The 18,369-nt window shown below is 42.3% G+C and overlaps 1 protein-coding gene across 10 annotated transcripts, besides 2 other annotated features; it reads left to right on the forward strand.

The window, feature by feature from the left end:
- Positions 148-11,021, forward strand: ZNF211 (zinc finger protein 211). Of its 10 annotated transcripts, NR_049752.3 has the most exons (6): positions 148-416; positions 766-885; positions 1,003-1,041; positions 1,609-1,735; positions 6,892-7,047; positions 7,684-11,021. NR_049752.3 is itself a non-coding variant. In NM_001265597.3 (5 exons), the coding sequence occupies exons 1-5, from the start codon at positions 327-329 to the stop codon at positions 9,159-9,161; spliced, it is 1,890 nt and encodes a 629-aa protein (NP_001252526.1). In that variant the 5' UTR covers positions 148-326; the 3' UTR covers positions 9,162-11,021. The 10 variants fall into 10 exon arrangements, 7 of the variants coding, with proteins under 7 accessions (NP_001252526.1, NP_001309235.1, NP_001252528.1 ...); NR_049753.3 differs by lacking the exon at positions 6,892-7,047 and having other exon boundaries at positions 693-885; NR_049754.3 differs by lacking the exon at positions 6,892-7,047.
- Positions 398-467: a silencer, noted in NCBI's record as "silent region_11078". NCBI's record gives its function as "represses an Ori minimal core promoter by ATAC-STARR-seq in GM12878 lymphoblastoid cells {active_cell/tissue: GM12878}" and the evidence as "EXISTENCE:reporter gene assay evidence [ECO:0000049][PMID:35858748]".
- Positions 8,988-9,188: a silencer, noted in NCBI's record as "peak3574 fragment used in MPRA reporter construct". NCBI's record gives its function as "represses an SCP1 promoter by STARR-seq MPRAs in K562 erythroleukemia cells {active_cell/tissue: K562}" and the evidence as "EXISTENCE:reporter gene assay evidence [ECO:0000049][PMID:32103011]".

Raw genomic sequence — 18,369 nt, forward strand, 5'->3', positions numbered from 1 at the left:
TCCCAGCTGTCTGCACACAAGGCGCCCTCCGTCGCAGCCTGGGGGAGACTACATTACCCAGAAAGCCTTGCGTCGAGCGGCAGTACTTTGATCCAATGAAAATCCAAGACAGGGGCATTTCCGTGTGGGTCTACCCCCGCCCCCCCCAGGGCGGGACTTGTGGCGTCTTCGCAGCGGTCATTTTGGCTGCCCTCCCGGAGGTCCGTTCTGTCTGTCAGCCGCTTTGGTACGCTGCATCGGGATCGAAGTGACGGACCGTGAAGGCGCGAGAGTCAGGTCTGAGGGTCGGGGGCAGAGCCGCCCGCGAGGCCGGCCTGGGGATAGCGATGCTCGGGTTCCCCCCGGGTCGCCCGCAGCTCCCGGTCCAGCTCCGCCCACAGACTCGGATGGCGACCGCACTGAGGGACCCGGCTTCGGTGAGCGCTGCGATCTCCGGGCCTCCCCCGGCCGAGATTCTTAAGTCCCAAGTGAGAGGCACCAGCTCACGTCTCTGTAGCACAGGGTCGGGGACACTGAGGCTCGTGGGTGGGGCCCCTATTTCTGACATCCGATGTGGTGGGCAGGGGGACAAGGGACAGGACCGGCGCGTGCAGGGCTTGGACGGGCAACCGAGAAGGGGGCATTCAGGAACCTGGGCTCCACATTGTTACTGCAGGGAACAAAGTTTGAGAGAGATCTACCTTTATTCTTAGGGCCGTGGGAGCCATAGAGAGCTTGCGCAAACGAGAGACACCATCTGAGTTAAATTTGAAAAATCCTCTGCAGGCTGTTCAGTGGAAGAAAAGACTTTAGAGATGGATGAGGACGTTGAGGCAGAGGGAGGTTGAATATTTTTCCAAGGCCACACAACTGGTGAGAGGCAGCACTAAGGACCGAGGCGCACAGGTTAGACAGTCGACCCAAAGTTACGTGGCTCTGGGCCGGGGCAAGGGTACAGGGAAGGCCTGTGCCCATGGAGCACTGCCATGATCACATTCCTCTGAGGCCTGCGTCTTTCCACAGGTTCCCATAGCTACAGAGGTGCTTTTCAAACTTACACAGGTAAGTGGAGGTATCTCAGCCCCTCACTGGTCTGGAATGTCCCTCCACCCTCCCCAGACAGATATTTTCTTTAGATTTGTGGTGTCATGGGACTCACCTACCATTCTCTCAGCGTTTGGTTTGGGAACCCTGGAGAATCCCTGAGCTAAGGGCCCTGAGTCCAGGCCAATGTTTCCATTTGGAGCAGCCAATGGAAAGATGGGTGAAAATTTATGATAGAAACAGGTAGGTACCAGCTTTTGGAACTCCTTGGAGGTGAGGCTGAGCTGGTTCAGGGAACTGCAGGTTTCCTTTATTTCTGTGAAGTTTGGCATCTATTGTGAGGAAGTTGGAGTTTGGGATCAGAGGAGGGAGATTTATCTAACCCAAGTGTTGACAGGATACAGAGTGGAAAACAGAATGAACACAGTGACTAATGGGAATGTGAAGAGACAGCAGGGATCAATGACACCAAGGTCTGGTGTCTCTTCTGACTTGGGGATCTTGGGAGGAGAATGTATGGGGACATGGATTTTGAGTCTTCCAAATTGAGACTGTTCATGGTTTCATCAATCCCTATTATGCTAGGGAAGTGTGACCTTTGAAGATGTGGCCGTGTACTTCTCCTGGGAGGAATGGGATCTCCTTGATGAGGCTCAGAAACACCTGTACTTCGATGTGATGCTGGAGAACTTTGCACTTACGTCCTCCCTGGGTAAGGCCCTCATACTCACCCTTGTGCCCTGGACTAGGCTCTCTGTTTCTCCTTTTCCTCAGGAGCAGCTCTGTCCTCATATCTGGACTATAGGCACTGCCTCCTTCCCCAGTTCCCTGGGTAGATGTTGTGGACTGAGTGCAAGCCTACTTCCCTTATCGTCCCAGCCCAAAAGCATCTTGGGTAAGGATTTGGGATCAGTAGTCTTACAGTAAGCCTAATAGATCCCACCTGACTTGCCTTCTCCCTGTCTGGTGACTTTCTAGATCTATGGCACCCAGTTTTCCCTCCCTTCGTGTACCTAACATTTATTTGTGCTAGACTGTGACATGAAATGTAGTCACTGACATTGCCACTATTTACACAGACTGTTCTTCAACCACCAACCTTTCCATTAACAGCAGAACACTCTAACAAATTGTGCCGCAGAGACATTACACAGACTGTTCTTATAGAAACCTCCTTCAAGGTGTTTTTCTTTGTTTTTAATTGTAAAATATATATAACAAAATTTACCATTTTAATCATTTTCAAGTATATAGTTCAGCGCATTTAGTACATTCGCATTATTGTGCAACCATCACCACCATCCTTCTATAGTACTTTTTCATCTTATAAAACTGAAACTTTGTACTCATTAAATAATAACTCTTCCCATCCCCTGGCAACCACCATTTTACTTTTGGTCTGTATGAATTTGTCTACTGTAAGTACCTCATATGAGTGGGATCACACAATATTTGTTCTTTTCTATCTGGCTTACTTCACTTAGCATAATATCTTCAAGATTCATCCATGTTGTAATATATATCAGAATTGCTTCTTTTTAAGGCTGAATAATATTCTTTTGTATGTATTACAGTTTGTTTATCCATTCCTTCATCAGTGGACACAGGTTGTTTTCACCTTCTGGCTGTTGTGAATAATATTACTGTGAACATGGGTGTACAGATACGTATTTGTGTCCTTGCTTTCAATTCTTTTGGGTATTGGCCCAAAAGTAGAATTTCTGGATCATAAGGTAATTATTTTTAATTTTTAAGGAACCACTAAAATTGTTTTTCATAGCAGCTGCACCATTTTACATTCCCACAAGCAGCTGACAAAGGTTCCAGTTTCTTCACACCCTCACCATCACTTGTTATTTTCTGATTTTTTTGATAAGTCATCCAAATTGGTGTGAGGTGATATCTCACTGTGGTTGTGATTTGCAGATTACTGATATTGAGCATCTATTCATGTGCTGATTGGCTATTTGTATATCTTCAAATGATATTGCTTATTCAAGTCCTTTGCCTATTTTTAAATTAGGTTTTATTAATTATAATTAGAAGTATTAAATATAATTTTTTATTGAGCTTTAAGGGTTATCTGTGTGTTCTAGATATTCCCTTATCAGATATGTGATTTGCAAATGTTTTCTCTTATTCTGTGGGTTACGTTTTTAGTGTGTTGATAGGATCCTTTGATGTACAAGTTTCTCATTTTGATGAATTCAGTTTTACTTTTTTACTTTTATTGTCTATGCTTTTTATATCATATCCAAGGAATCATTAACAAGTCCAATGTCATGAAGCTTTTTCCTTGCTTTAAGACTTCTATAGTTTTAGTACTTACATTCAGATCTTTGATCTGTTTTGAATTAATTTTTATATGTGGTGTCAGGTAAGGGACCAACTTCATTCTTTCACATGTAGATATCCAGTTTTCCTAGCATCATGTGTTAAAAATTTGTCTTCTTTCTCCTGGTCAAAAATCATTTGGCCAGATATTTGAGGGTTTATTTCTGGGGTCTCTTCTAGTCCATTGATCTATATGTCTTTCTTTATGGGAGTACCACACTGTTTTAATTTCTATAGCCTTGCAGTAAGTTTTGAAATTACGAACTGTGAGTCTTCCAACTTTCATCCTTTTCAAGATTGTTTTAGCTATTCTGTGTCTCTCGATATTTCAAATGAATTTTAGGATGGATTTTTTTATTTCTGCAAAATAACGTCATTTGGATTTTGATAGGTATCGCACTTTCTATAGATTACTTTGGCTAGTATAGACATCTTAACAATATTGAGCACTCTAGTCCATGAGCAGGCATGTGATCTATTTTATTAATGTTTTATTTAATTCATTTTAGCAAAATTTTGTAGTTTCTAGTGTACAAGGCTTTTACTTGTTTGGTTAAGTTAATCTTTAATGTTTTATTCTTTTTGATATAAGTGGAATTGTTTACTTTTCAAATTGTTCACCATTAGTGTATAGAAACGTAACTGATTTTTGCATGTTGTATTTATATTCTCCTATTTGCTGAATTTCCTTATTAGTTGTAACAGTTTTTCAGTGGAATCTTTATGGTATTCCATGTATATCATCTGTGAGCAGGGATAATTTTACTCCTCCTTTCCCATTTTGGTCCCTTTTCTTTCTTTTTCTTGCCTAATTGCTATGTTGAACAGAAGTGCTAAAAGTAGCATCCTTATCTTGTCCTTAATCTTAGAGGAAAATCTTTCAGTCTTTCATTGTTGAGTATAATTTTAGCTGTAGGTTTTTTTTTTTGCATATGGATTTTATTATGTTTAGGTAATTTCCCTGTATTCCTGGTTTTCTGAGTGTTTTCCCCACGAAAAAGTGTTGCATATTGTCTAATGCTTTCAGTGCATCAGCTGAGATGATCGTTTTAATTTTTTTAGAGATGGGGTCTTGCTATGTTACACAGGCTGGTCTTAAGCTCCTGGCCGCAAGCGATCCTCCTGCCTCAGCCTACCAAGTAGCTGGGATTACAGGTGTAAGCCACCACTTTGATCAGTTTTTGTTTGTTGAACCATCCTTGCATTCCAGGAATAAATTCTATCTGGTCGTAGTGCATAATCCTTTTAATATGCTGTTGAATTCAGTTTGCTAGTGTTTGGTTGATGGTTTTTGCATTAATAATCATCAAGGATATTGGTCTGTAGTTTTATTTTCTTACACAATCTTTGTGTCATTTGGAATCAGGGTAATGCTGGCCATACAGAATGAGTTTAGATGTGTGTATGCTACAGTTTTTTGAGAGAATTTGAAAAGGATAAGTATTAGTTCTTAGTTAAATGGTTGGTAGAATTCATCTGTGAAGCCATCAAGTCAAGGGCTTTTCTTTAAGGTTTGTCTTTTTTTTTTTTTTTTTTCTTGAGACAGAGTATTGCTCTGACACCCAGGCTAGAGTGCAGTGGTGTGATCTTGGCTCACTGCAACCTCCACTTCCTGGATTCAAGCAATTCTCCTGCCTTGGCCTCCCGATTAGCTGGGGTTACAGGCACATGCCACCACACCTGGCTAATTTTTGTATTCTTAGTAGAGATGGGGTTTCACCATGTTGGCCAGGCTGGTCTTGAACTCCTGACCTCAGGTGATCCACCCACCTCAGCTTCCCAAAGTGCTGGAATTACAGGCATGAGCCACTGCACCCGGCCAGGTTTGTCAATTTTGATAACCTTTTCAAAGAAACACCTTTTGGTTTTGTTGATTTTTTTTTTATATTGTTTTTCTCTTCTCTATTTTATTTATCTAGACTTTAGTCTTTATTATTTTTTTCCTGCCAGCTTTGGTTTTAGTTTGTTCCTCTTTTTATAATCCCTTAAGTTGTAAAAATAGATTGTTGAGTTGAGATCTTTCTTCTTTTTAATGTTTATAGCTATAAATTTCCCCTTTAGTACTGCTTTTACTGCATCTCCAATTTATTTCCCTTCTGATTTCTTCATGGCCCCATTGGTTTTTCAATATTGTATTAATTTCTACAGATTTGTAAATTTTTTAGTTTCCTTCTATTAAGAGTTCCCAACCTCATCCCACTGTGGTTGGAGAAGATACTTTGTATGATGTGTGTCTAAATCAAATGAGGCTTAATTTATGGTCTGTCCTGGAGAATGTTTTTGGTACACATGAGGGGAATGTACATTCTGTTGTTGTTGGGTAGAATGCTCTTTATATATTTGTTAGAGCTAGTTGGTTGTTTAGGTCCTCTGTTTTCTCTCTTCTCTCTGATTGTTCTATCCGCTGCTGAGAGTCAGGTATTGATGTCTCTAACTGTTATTGTAGAACTATCCATTTCTCCCTTCAGTTCTGTCCATTTTTGCCTCATGTGTTTTGATGGTCTATTATTAGGTGCATAAGTGTTTATAAGTGTTATATCTTCTTGCTCTACTGAACCTTTTATTAGTATATAATATCCTTTTATATCTCTTGTTACCCTTTTTGATTTAAAATCTCTATTGTATGATATTAATGTAGCCATTCTTACTCTTTTTTGCTTGCTATTTGCATGGAATATCTTTTTGTAGGCTGTCACTTTCACCTCATTTACATCTTTGGATCTAAAGCAAATCTCTTGTAGACATCATAAAGTTGGATCATGGGTTGTTTTTATTTTAACCCATTCTGCCAATCTTTGTCTTTTGGCAGAGTTTAAGCTAAAAGTTGGGAGCATTTAAGGCATTTACGTTTAAGGTAATCACTGATAAGGAAGGGCAGACTTCTATCATTTTGCTCTTTGTTTTCCCCATGTCTTATAGCCTTATAGCTTTTTTGATCCTAATTTCCTGCATTACTGCTTCTTTTGTGTTTGGCTCACTTTTTTTTTTTTTTTTTTTTAGTGAAACTTCCCTTGTCATTTCCTTTATGTACTTTTTTTTTTTTTTTTTTTTTTTTTTTTTTTAATGGTGTCTCACTCTGTTGCCCAGGCTGGAGTGCAGTGGGGCGATCTCGGCTCACTGCAACCTCTGCCTCCCATAATCAAGCGATTATCCTGCCTCAGCCTCCTGAGTAATCCCTCCTGGGATTACAAACGCACACCACCACACCCAGCTAATTTTTGTATTTTTAGTAGAGACAGGGTTTCACCATGTTGGCCATACTGGTCCCAAACTCCTGACCTCAGTTGATCCACCCACCTCAGCCTCCCAAAGTGCTGAGATTACAGGTGTGAGCCACCACGCCCAGTTCTTTGTATACTTCATGTAGCTCTTTTTTTAAAATAGTTACCATGGGGATTACATTTAACATCCTAAAGTTACAACACTCTAACTTGAATTTATACAAACTTAACTTCTTTAACTTTCCTTGTTCTTTTTTGTGCCGTGTTGTTCTGGGCCAGTGTTAGTTGCTCACATGTCCTGTCTTTCCCTTAGGACTTATATCATCCTGGTCTCATGTAGTTGCTCAACTAGGGCTAGGGGAAGTGCCCTCTGTTCTTCACAGGATGTTCATGACTCCAGCCTCAGCAAGATGGGATCAGAGAGGGCCTGGCCTACATGAATGGCACTTGGGAAAAGGCATGTCATCAGGTCTGTGTTTAAATTGCACCAGGAACCTGTCCTGTTTGACTTGTCTTGATGCCATTGCCAGAGACACTTCACTTCGACCTTCCCCTCTTCACTCTTAACAGTTTACAAACTTGTTATTTCTACTACTTGTCATTTTTATTTTGACTTCTAGCTAACGCTAATCCTCACCTCTCTGGACTCCTTATCCTACCTGTTCTTTTCACTGTTCCCTCTGTAGTGTTCTTTAATATTATTTTGTCCTGAAGTGTGCATATCTCCCTTAATAGTCCCTGAACACCAGTTACTGTTCCAGTGAGATTTTCCTGGGCCTGGGCATACACTTCACAGCATCACTTGTCACCAGCAGATGTGATCCCACTAAAAGCTATTATCAGAAGAATTAATTGTATAACATGCCTCTTAGTCCTGGGCCATACCTTAGCCTTGTGCACTGTACCTGGGAGGGCCTACCCTATTCCGTAACCTTAGGGACAAGTAATGCACAACAGCTGCTTCCTCAACCTGACCCCCCAACTCACTTTTCCTAAAAACAGGCCCATATACTGGTTCTTTGCTGTAACTGATGTGCATTTGCAATTGCATTGTCTCCTCCTAATAAAGGTAACATGTACTTCACCATGATCTCTTTACTTTTAGGTTGTTGGTGTGGAGTGGAACATGAGGAAACACCTTCTGAACAGAGAATTTCTGGAGAAAGAGTGCCACAGTTCAGGACTTCCAAAGAAGGTTCATCTTCCCAGAATGCCGACTCCTGTGAAATATGTTGCCTGGTCTTGAGAGATATTTTGCACTTGGCTGAACACCAAGGAACAAACTGCGGGCAGAAACTACACACATGTGGAAAACAATTCTACATCAGTGCAAATCTTCAACAGCACCAGAGGCAGCACATTACAGAGGCACCTTTCAGAAGTTATGTGGACACTGCCTCGTTTACACAGAGTTGCATAGTCCATGTGTCGGAGAAACCCTTTACCTGCAGGGAGATCAGGAAAGACTTCCTGGCCAACATGAGGTTTCTCCATCAAGACGCCACTCAAACAGGGGAGAAGCCAAATAACAGTAACAAGTGTGCGGTGGCCTTTTACAGTGGAAAAAGTCATCACAACTGGGGAAAATGCAGTAAAGCCTTTAGCCACATAGACACACTTGTTCAGGACCAGAGAATCCTCACTAGAGAAGGACTTTTTGAGTGCAGTAAATGTGGGAAAGCATGTACGCGAAGATGTAACCTCATTCAGCACCAGAAAGTCCACAGTGAAGAAAGGCCTTATGAATGCAATGAATGTGGAAAATTCTTTACCTACTACTCCAGTTTCATTATACATCAGAGAGTTCATACTGGAGAAAGGCCTTATGCGTGCCCTGAATGTGGGAAATCGTTTAGTCAGATATACAGCCTCAATAGCCATAGGAAAGTTCACACTGGAGAAAGGCCTTATGAATGTGGGGAATGTGGGAAATCTTTTAGCCAAAGGTCCAACCTCATGCAGCATCGCAGAGTTCACACTGGAGAAAGGCCTTATGAATGCAGCGAATGTGGGAAATCTTTTAGCCAAAACTTTAGCCTGATCTACCACCAGAGAGTTCACACTGGAGAAAGACCTCATGAGTGCAATGAATGTGGAAAATCCTTTAGCCGAAGCTCCAGCCTCATTCACCACCGGAGACTTCACACTGGAGAAAGACCCTATGAGTGCAGTAAATGTGGGAAGTCATTTAAGCAAAGCTCCAGCTTCAGTTCACATCGGAAAGTCCACACAGGGGAAAGGCCTTATGTGTGTGGGGAATGTGGGAAATCCTTTAGCCATAGCTCCAACCTTAAGAACCACCAGAGAGTTCACACTGGAGAAAGACCTGTTGAGTGCAGTGAATGTAGCAAATCCTTTAGCTGTAAATCTAACCTCATTAAACACCTGAGAGTTCACACTGGAGAAAGGCCTTATGAGTGCAGTGAATGTGGGAAATCCTTTAGCCAAAGTTCTAGCCTCATTCAACACCGCAGAGTTCACACGGGAAAAAGGCCTTATCAGTGCAGTCAATGTGGGAAATCCTTTGGCTGCAAATCTGTCCTCATTCAACACCAGAGAGTTCACATTGGAGAAAAGCCTTAGCTGTACTGAGAATATGCAATTTCCTTTTAGTGTAATTATACTGAAGGAGTACACCTGTGAGAGAGACAAGTACCTGATTTGGAAGCCCCAACATCTAAGGATATACAGTGGGCGGATTCCCCTTAAGTTCCAGGTATGTGTTACACTTTCTAACATGCCATTTAGAAAGTGTTAGACTTTCTCACCTGCCATTTATGGCTCTTGCCGTTTATGTCACTGACAGTTTCTGAGGCAGAAGCCGTATCATGTCTACCACCTGTGAGGTCCACACAGTGTGTATCATTTACCTCCTGAACCTGCTCAAGGAAGCAGACCTCTGCTTCTCCCCATTTGCTAGAAGAAATCATGAATAGTCTGAGTCTTCCTCTCTGACAAGTTAGGGCATGGACTTGACCCAGCTTTGTGCCAGAGAACCCAATATGAGTGTTGTTGGCAGCTTGCCAAGAAGGACTGTCTTTTTCAAGACATACTGGTTTCATGTGACACCTCCATGGATTTTTTTCCAGCCTCTAAGTCACCAACTTGGGAACTGCTTGTCTCACGTTGCTTTGTTTTTTACAATAATAAAAGCATTATTATTTAAGCTACCTTTATCTTGGCATTTGATTCACTCTTTGAGGTGGTTCAAAAACAGAATCGGGCCCTGCCAGCTTTACAGAGTAAACACCTTTGGAGGGAGAGGGAGGTGTCATATGCCTCAGTGACAACAGTATAATGGAAAAATACAACTGTCTTTCCAGCTTTGGCCTAATCTGAATTTGAATTATTGCCCAAGGCCTTCTAGGAAATACTGCAGGATATTATGGTCTTAATTCGTGGACTGGATGCAAGGATTTTTTGTGGGCTCAAAGGACACCCTGAGGAAGTGGGAAATTGTGACAAATTCCATTGCTTCTGGGAACAAGATGAATTTTGTTGTTATTCACAAGGGTTATTACATACTGCCCAGCACTGTTGAGGCAGTCTACCCCCAGTGCTGCCAAGGAGCCAAGTGCCCCAATACAATTTAGTAGGCTACTGTCACTGTAAAATGATGGGGGAACCATAATTGGTGTGGAAACACTGGGTTACTAGGGAGTGAAGGAGACTGCAGCAAACTAGATGGAATGTGCTCCTTGTAATATGTTCTAGTAATTGTGCAGGATCAGTGTGTACAGACATTCTTAGAATTTCCAGGCATGTGTATTTTTTGTAGCTGAGGTGACTGTCAAAAAATAATAAACAACCTAAAGGTTTTGTGTATTCCAATAGCCTTTCTGGGATGTGCACCTCAAGAACATTGCTGCATAGGCCAGGAAAACAAGCATAGAAAGAAGGGGCGGGGGATGTCCTTCCAGGAATGTGACTTTGTAACCTACCATCATCCTGTGTTTAAATGAATTCAAATCAGTTTCATTGATTACCAGTATTTGCTGCCCACTGAGGCAAGGTGTCCCTCCAAGGTCATCAGGAAAGAGAGTTAATGTAGGGTTACCAAACCTAGTCAAAAACACATTATACCATCATTATAATTATTACAATGAACATATCAGTCACCTCGGATTTACCTCAGGCCTTTTTCTAAGCTCTCCCTCCCCTCTCTGGCCCTCAAGGCAACCATTGATTTATACCTTCATTTATAATAGGTTTGTTTGTATTTTCTATAATATATGATTTTATTAATAAAATGTCTTTTTTTCCAGTTTCATTCATGATGCATAATTATTTTGAGATTCTTCAATGGAGCTTATATGTGGTGGTCATTCTTTTTATTGCTGAGTGGTATATTTTTTATGGATATACTATTTGTTATCCATTTGTTTATAAGCATTTAGGTTTTATCTAGTTTTGGCTATTACAAATAAAGCTGCTAGAAATGTACAATTCTTCATATGTGCATTTTTTTCACTTCTCTTGTGCAATGCCTGAGACACAGGATAAATGAATGTTTAACTTATTAAGAAATGGCCAAAAATGGGCTGGGTGCGGTGGCTCACGCCTATACTCCCAGCACTTTGGGAGGCCGAGGCAGGCAGATCACGAGGTCAACAGATCGAAACCATCTTGGCCAACATGGTGAAACCCCATCTGTACTAAAAATACAAAACTTAGCTGGGCGTGGTGGTGCGTGCCTGTAGTCCCAGCTGCTTGGGAGGCTGAGGCAGGAGAATAACTTGAACCCAGAAGGCGGAGGTTGCAGTGAGCCGAGGTCACACCACTGCACTCCAGCCTGGCAACAAAGTGAGACTCTATCTCAAAAAAAAAAAAAAGAAAAGATAAATGGCCAAATTGATCTAAAATGGCTGTTTGCTCTTGCTTACCTACTGGGAATGTGTGAGAATTCCAGCTGTTTCACATCCTTGCCAATACTTGGCATGGTCTATCTTTTAGAATGTACCCTTTTAATAAGTGTGCAGTAGTTTTAATTGCATTTCCCTAAGGATTCATGATGTTGAACATTTTTTCATGTGTTTATTTGCCAAATGTATATCTTCTTTTTTACACTTTTTTTTTTTTCTTTTAGACGGAGTCTTGCTCTGTCACCCAGGCTGGAGTGCAGTGGCGTGATCTCGGCTCACTGCAAGCTCCGCCTCCCAGGTTCACACCATTCTCCTGCCTCAGCCTCCTGAGTAGCTGGGACTACAGGTGCCTGCCACCATGCCCGGCTAATTTTTTTTTTTTTTTTGTATTTTTTAGTTGAGATGGGGTTTCACCATGTTAGCCAGGATTGTCTCGATCTCCTGACCTCGTGATCCGCCCGCCTCGGCCTCCCAAAGTGCTGGGATTACAGGCGTGAGCCACTGCACCCAGCCTGCCAACTGTATATCTTCTTTGATAAAATGTCTGTTCATATACGTTATCTGTTTGTTAGGAATTGTGTCTATTTTGCTTTTCATTAACAAATCACTAGTTTTTGTTCCACAATTAATTTCATGCTATGCACAGTGTAATTACCATATATACCACACACTTTTAAATTTAATCTGTATTATTCACATATTCTCTATCACATTCTTAAGTCTAGACACTTAGTAGTACAGTGAATCAAGCTATGGTTTATAGTGATGCCAGTTTCCCTGGTGTAAAACTTCCCATTGTGGCCAATTTCAAACTGTCATCATGTCACTGAATTTGGGGTTGGGAAGAGCCATCAGAAACATACCATTTCCATAATAGTGATCCATATTTAAATTTACTTCTAAATAAATTTATTTGCAAGTTTACTACCTGCAAATAGCCTCTAGAATGTAGACAATAAAACATAGTAAAATGATTAGGAAGTGACAAATTTTGAATATTTGTTTTTTAAAAAATATAAAAGAGGTATAATTGACAATGCAAACTGCACATATTTTTAAATGTACATTTTGATATTTTGATACACGCTTATACCCTTAAAATCAAAAATTTCATTGAAAACAAGTGAAAAGACAATCTGTAATACTGTTAACAGTTAACAGTTAAGTTATTCTGTTAAATACATCAGTTGTCCAAAAAACAAAGTAGGCAACATATTTGAAATACAGGCAGTTCTTGCTCTATTCATCTTCATGAACTGAAAATGCCTTGACAAAACATGAGAAAGAATGGAAGTTAACAATTGAGATGAAATTTGCCAACATTTATTTTGGAATCAAAGTCTATTTTCATTATGAATCCTCTGGGATTTTGTAACATAAAGTTTTCTAGTGCAAATACATTGGGATTTATTAGGATTTACTGATAAAGAACTCTCAGTCACATTTTAGTTGTCCATATTATATATTTGGTACATTCTGTGATAACGGAAAGTACAAATAGCACTAATGTTTTGGGGAAGAAAATAGCTACTTGTTGCCTCCTTCCCACAGAACCAGGGCTAGATAATGAGGAGCACATCTCACTAACTGATCACACAGCTGTCTGTAGACATTTGGCCAGGAAGAGCACTGTGGGATGAATCAAACAACCAGGAAATCAGGTGGAGGAGAATCAGAAGAGATGCTACTGTTTGTTTTCAAGTAAATCAGGCTATCTCCAGAAGGATCATCAATCATAGATAAGTGTTTACTTCTAGTGTTACACAGGTAGAACAGAAAGTATGTTAAATTTATATGTATTTGAAAGAAAAATTTAAGCATGAAGTAAAAACTGAAGGAACATTCTAGAAAAGTTTTAGTACACAAAATAAGAGAATGTAATTAAACGGTATTTCACTGTAGATTTCTGCTACTTTGGTCTCACCCATTAAATCCCCTATACCTCACATAGTTGACATGAACAAAGCCATTCATTATTCCACTGGCAAATACTTTCCTGTTATATATGTTCTATTCATTACCTATTCCAACAGCCTCTCATACACATTCACCTTCGAAGGTGATTTCAACAGTTCTCAGCTGGGCGCAGTGGCTCACGCCTGTAATCCCAGCACTTTGGGAGGCCGAGGTGGGCAGATCACTTGAGGTGCACATCATCTGGTGTGCTTAGCATTACTCCATTTCTGATACTGTTAGAAGGCAACTTCTAACTTTGTCAGCTCCAACCAATCCCAAGCTGGCCAAGCACCTATTGGGTCTCTTTTGCTCCTGGAGGCAACATAGTCTCCATTTACAAATACCACTCAGGCCTATTTATTCACCCATCCACAAAACAGCCCACTTTTGGAGGCCTTTACAACAGAAGGCCCTAGAGTCAGTTCAGATGACCATATAACAGACATTTCCTTTAGTGCCTCCTGGAGATTCCTTCATGGTGGACTACCCACTAGACTCTCTTCTTAGACTCTGGACCACACATCTGGCCATAAGCTGCCCATGGGCTTCTGGTGCAAAAAACTGCCTGTTTTGTCCTCATGTAACATGCAATTAGAGCAACAACTGCCAGCTACATACTGGGACCTCTTAGAAACAGAAGCTCTCACAGGACCTGAACCATGGCACACTCCACCCAGTTACACATTATTACCTGGGTCATGAAAGCAACACCTACAAGCTCAGCCTGATCACCAAGGCCTTGATACAGGATGGAGCCAAACCTGGGCCCCCTGGTGTATCTCACTTGGAAAAAGAGGTGGCCTTCTCTGTCCTCAGTCTCTTGCCAGATGCCATGGTGAAGGAAGTCTCCTCTCTCCTGGGCCCTTGGCAGCCCTGGAATCAAGTAAGTAAACAACAAGGGGAGAACACATACTTTGTTGACAGTAATGCCACCACTACATGAGCTGGAGCTCTCTGGAGGTCTGCTGCTTTTCTTCTAAACAAGACACACTGCTGAAGGATGGGAACTGCAGGCAGTCATTTTAGCGCTGGAGGCTACCTTGGCCAAGAAATTACCTCAATTACACTTCTAGTCATTTGGTGCAACCAATGGCAACAATTTCTCGTTCAAGATCATACTCTTGGGGTAAACAACTTCAGGAATTTCTTGCCTCTCAGATATCAAAGATATAAATTAAGATCATGTATGTCTCCGCCCACACCAAGGCTCAGACTGCTGAAGCCTAACTTAATTCCCAAGCTGGTAGATTACAACAATTTTCAAAAACTAGGACCAAAACTTTGTTGGATGACCTTCCAGGCCCATTCCTTTATTTTTGGCCCAATAGGCCCATGAAACAACAGTCATAGAGGAACCTCTATGAGGAACCCAATCTTGAAGACTGGGGCTAAACACAAAGTGTTTCCCCACCCCTCTACCATGGCCAACATGATGACGGGTCAGTGCACTCTGTGGGAATACCTGTCATTGGCAAGACAACTGAGGTGTGCTATTCTGGATCCCACTTTTAGTCATGTGGCAGGTAGATTTTACCAGGCCACTGCCTCTGTCTACCAGTGCCACTTGTTATGCTTTGACTGTGGTTGATGCCTACCGCCGACATCTTACTTTACCCCACTAGACATGGCACTGCTGAAGCTACTATACAGCACCACAAAACGCTCCTATTCCCTTTGGAGTTCCCGACAACAGCGGTGAACAAAGCTCTCATTTTAGACAAAGCATTTGAGAGAACTTGCGACATTCCAATCAGTCCCAGGCTGCTGGTTTTATAGAATGCCACAATGGCTTACTTAAAACTTAGTAGAAATTATGAAATAGCATATGGTCTTATAGATGGGTCTTTTTCCTGCCATTAGACCTTATTATACTAAATTCCCAGCTCTATTCCCTGCCAAAATGCACTGAAAACATCTCCATTAGATTTCATTGCCCTCTGTGGTGACACTTCACATAACAGAGCTTACAAAGATCATATTGAACTAGGCATTCCTCCTGTTCTTCCTCTTTCTGCTATCACTTTTCAGTCCCCATCCTGACTGGAAAGAAAGACAGACTGAGGGTGGATTGTGAGTTATGATCCTCATGAATGAATGCCCCTTTGGCTTCCTGCCAGAGCCATCTGGCACCCTGCTAACGTTGAGTCGCCTAAGGCAGGAGTTTTGCCAAATATTCTTGGTTATAAAGGATACTTAATTACAAATGCCCATAATGATCTCACTCAGGAAAGAGAAATCATGGCTCCAAGACCCACAACCACACCGTGTCAATAACAGGCCAGCAAAGACCAAAACTGAATTTGTCTAACAGCATCCTCCACTAAGGAACGCAGGCTCCCCCTACCTCATTGGCAGTTTTGTACACCTGTGTGTGTGTGCGCCGTAGGCTCCCTTTCAACTGCCTCACCATGTCACAGCTTATTCAGCTGACTGTAAGCCTTACCATGGCACTCTCCACACACTCTCCACACATAATCTATTTGGCTGGTCACACCTCAAACCTAAACTTGTTCTCCTGGACTTCTCTTAAAAATGCCAACTCCAGTTATTCAAGATGACCCACTATTATGTCTGACCAAAATGTTCACTGGCAATAATTCATACCAAATACCAAGTCCAAGACTTTAGCCCCTGAGAACTTATTGGTTGTATTTCCCGAAATACCCCTCGCTTCTGAAGTTATTGAGTCCTTAATCTCAGACTTCTCTTAATTTGACTTGCACTATGTGCATTTTGGGGCCAAATATAACCTTTTGTTATCCTGCCAAAAAAAGTTCTGTATTTTGATTGTGATGGTGATTACATGTATCTCCACACGTGATAAAATTGCATAGAACTGGCCAGAAGTGGTGGCTCATGCCTGTAATCCCAGCACTTTGGGAGGCCAAGGCTGGCAGATCACGAGGTCAGGAGTTTGAGACCAGCCTGGTTAACACAGCGAAACCCTGTCTCTACTAAATATACAAAAATTAGCTGGGCATGGCCGGGCCCAGTGGCTCACGCCTGTAATCCCAGCACTTTGGGAGGCTGAGGCGGGTGGATCACGAGGCCAGTAGATCAAGACCATCCTGGCTATCACGGTGAAACCCCATCTCTACTAAAAATACAAAAAATTAGCCGGGTATGGTGGCGGGCGCCTGTAGTCCCAGCTACTCAGGAGGCTGAGGCAGGAGAATGGTGTGAACCCAGGAGGCAGAGCTTGCAGTAAGCTGAGATCATGCCACTGCACTCCAGCCTGGGTGACAGAGCGACACTCTGTCTCAAAAAAAAAATTAGCCAGGCATGGTGGCGCGCACTTGTAGTCCCAGCTACTCAGGAGGCTGAGGCAGGAGAATCGCTTGAACCCAGGAAATGCAGGTTGCAGTGAGCCAAGATCACCCCATGGCACTCCAGCCTGGGTGACAGAGCGAGACTCTGTCTCAAAAAAAAAAAAAAAAAAAGCATAGAACTACACACATACAACGAGTGTATAAAATGGTGAGCTCTGAAAGAGGTCTGAGGATTGAACCAATGTCGCATTCCTGGTTTTGGTAATGTACTAAGGTTATATAAGATGTTACTATTGGGGAAAGTAGGTGAAAGGTACTCTGCACTATTGATATGGTTTGGATATCTGTCCTGCCCAAACCTCATGTTGAAATGTAATCTCCAATGTTGGAGGTGGGGCCTGGCAGGAGGTGATTGGCTCATGAGGGTGGTTTCCCCTGAATGGTTTAGCACCACCCTTTGGTGCTGTCCTCACGATAGTGAGTTATCATGAGATCTGGCTGTTTGAAAGTGTGTGGCACCTCCAACTTCGCTCTTGCTCCTGATCCCACAACTACATTTGCAACATCCTGCATATCTGTACTTCAAAATAAATTCTTAAAAATTTTTCACTGTTCCGTATATTTCCACAGTGTATATAGTTCACTGTTCTGTATATTTCTACATCAGAATGTATAATTTTCGGCCGGGTGTGGTGGTTCACGCCTGTAATCCCAGCACTTTGGGAGGCCGAGGTGGGTGGATCACCTGAGGTCAGGAGTTCGAGACCAAACTGACCAGCATGGTGAAACCCCCTCTCTACCAAAAATACAAAAATTAGCTGGGTGTGGTGGCGGGCACCTGTAATCCCAGCTACTCAGAAGGGTTAGGTTACTCACCACTATACTAATGAGGATGAAGCCTCTTTTTTTTTTTTTTTTTGAGATGGAGTCTTGCTCTTGTTGCCCAGGCTGGAATGCAGTGGTGCGATCTCGACTCACTGCAACCTCTGCCTCCTGGGTTCAAGCGATTCTCCTGCCTCAGCCTCCTGAGTAACTGGGATTACAGGCGCCTGCCACCACCCCTGGCTAATTTTTGTACTTTTAGTAGAGACAAGGTTTTGCTATGTTGGCCAGGCTGGTCTCGAACTCCTGGCCTCAGGTGATCTGCCCCCCTCGGCCTCCCAAAGTGCTGGGATTACTAGTGTGAGCCACGATGCCCAGCCAAAGTCTCTTTTTTATAAGGGCCTTAATCATACTCTTAAGGGAGGAGCTGTCATAACAACCTAATCACCTTCTAAAGGCCCTATCTCTTAATCTCATAATACCATTGCATTAGAAATTAAGTTTTAACATGAATTTCCACCAGCCTCAGGGGCTCACACCGGTAATCCCACCACTTTGAGAGGCAGAGGCGAGTGGATCACTTAAGCCCAGCCTGGCCAACATGGTGAAACCCTGTCTCTACTAAAAATACAAAAATTAGCCAGGCATGGTGGCAGACACCTGTAATTCCAGCTGCCTATGAGGCTGAGATGGGAGAATCACTTGAACCTGGGAGGTGGAGGTTGCAGTGAGCTAAGATCACACCACTGTACTCCAGCCAGGGGGACAGAGTGAGACTCCATCTCAATAAATAAATAAATAAAGATAATGTTAGCCCAAACGGTGCCATTTCATAAACCCTGGACAGAGTGGAAAATTCCACTAGGTCTTTGGCTGTGAGAA

The sequence above is a fragment of the Homo sapiens genome, chromosome 19 (assembly GCF_000001405.40).
Source record: "Homo sapiens chromosome 19, GRCh38.p14 Primary Assembly".
Classification (NCBI taxonomy): Eukaryota; Metazoa; Chordata; class Mammalia; order Primates; family Hominidae; genus Homo; species Homo sapiens.

Coding starts and splice junctions, on each gene's coding strand:
- ZNF211 (NM_001265597.3), top strand. CDS start 327: ATGCTCGGGTTCCCCCCGGGTCGCCCGCAGCTCCCGGTCCAGCTCCGC. Junction 417..1,002: donor CACTGAGGGACCCGGCTTCG/GTGAGCGCTGCG, acceptor GTCTTTCCACAG/GTTCCCATAGCTACAGAGGT. Junction 1,042..1,608: donor TGCTTTTCAAACTTACACAG/GTAAGTGGAGGT, acceptor CTATTATGCTAG/GGAAGTGTGACCTTTGAAGA.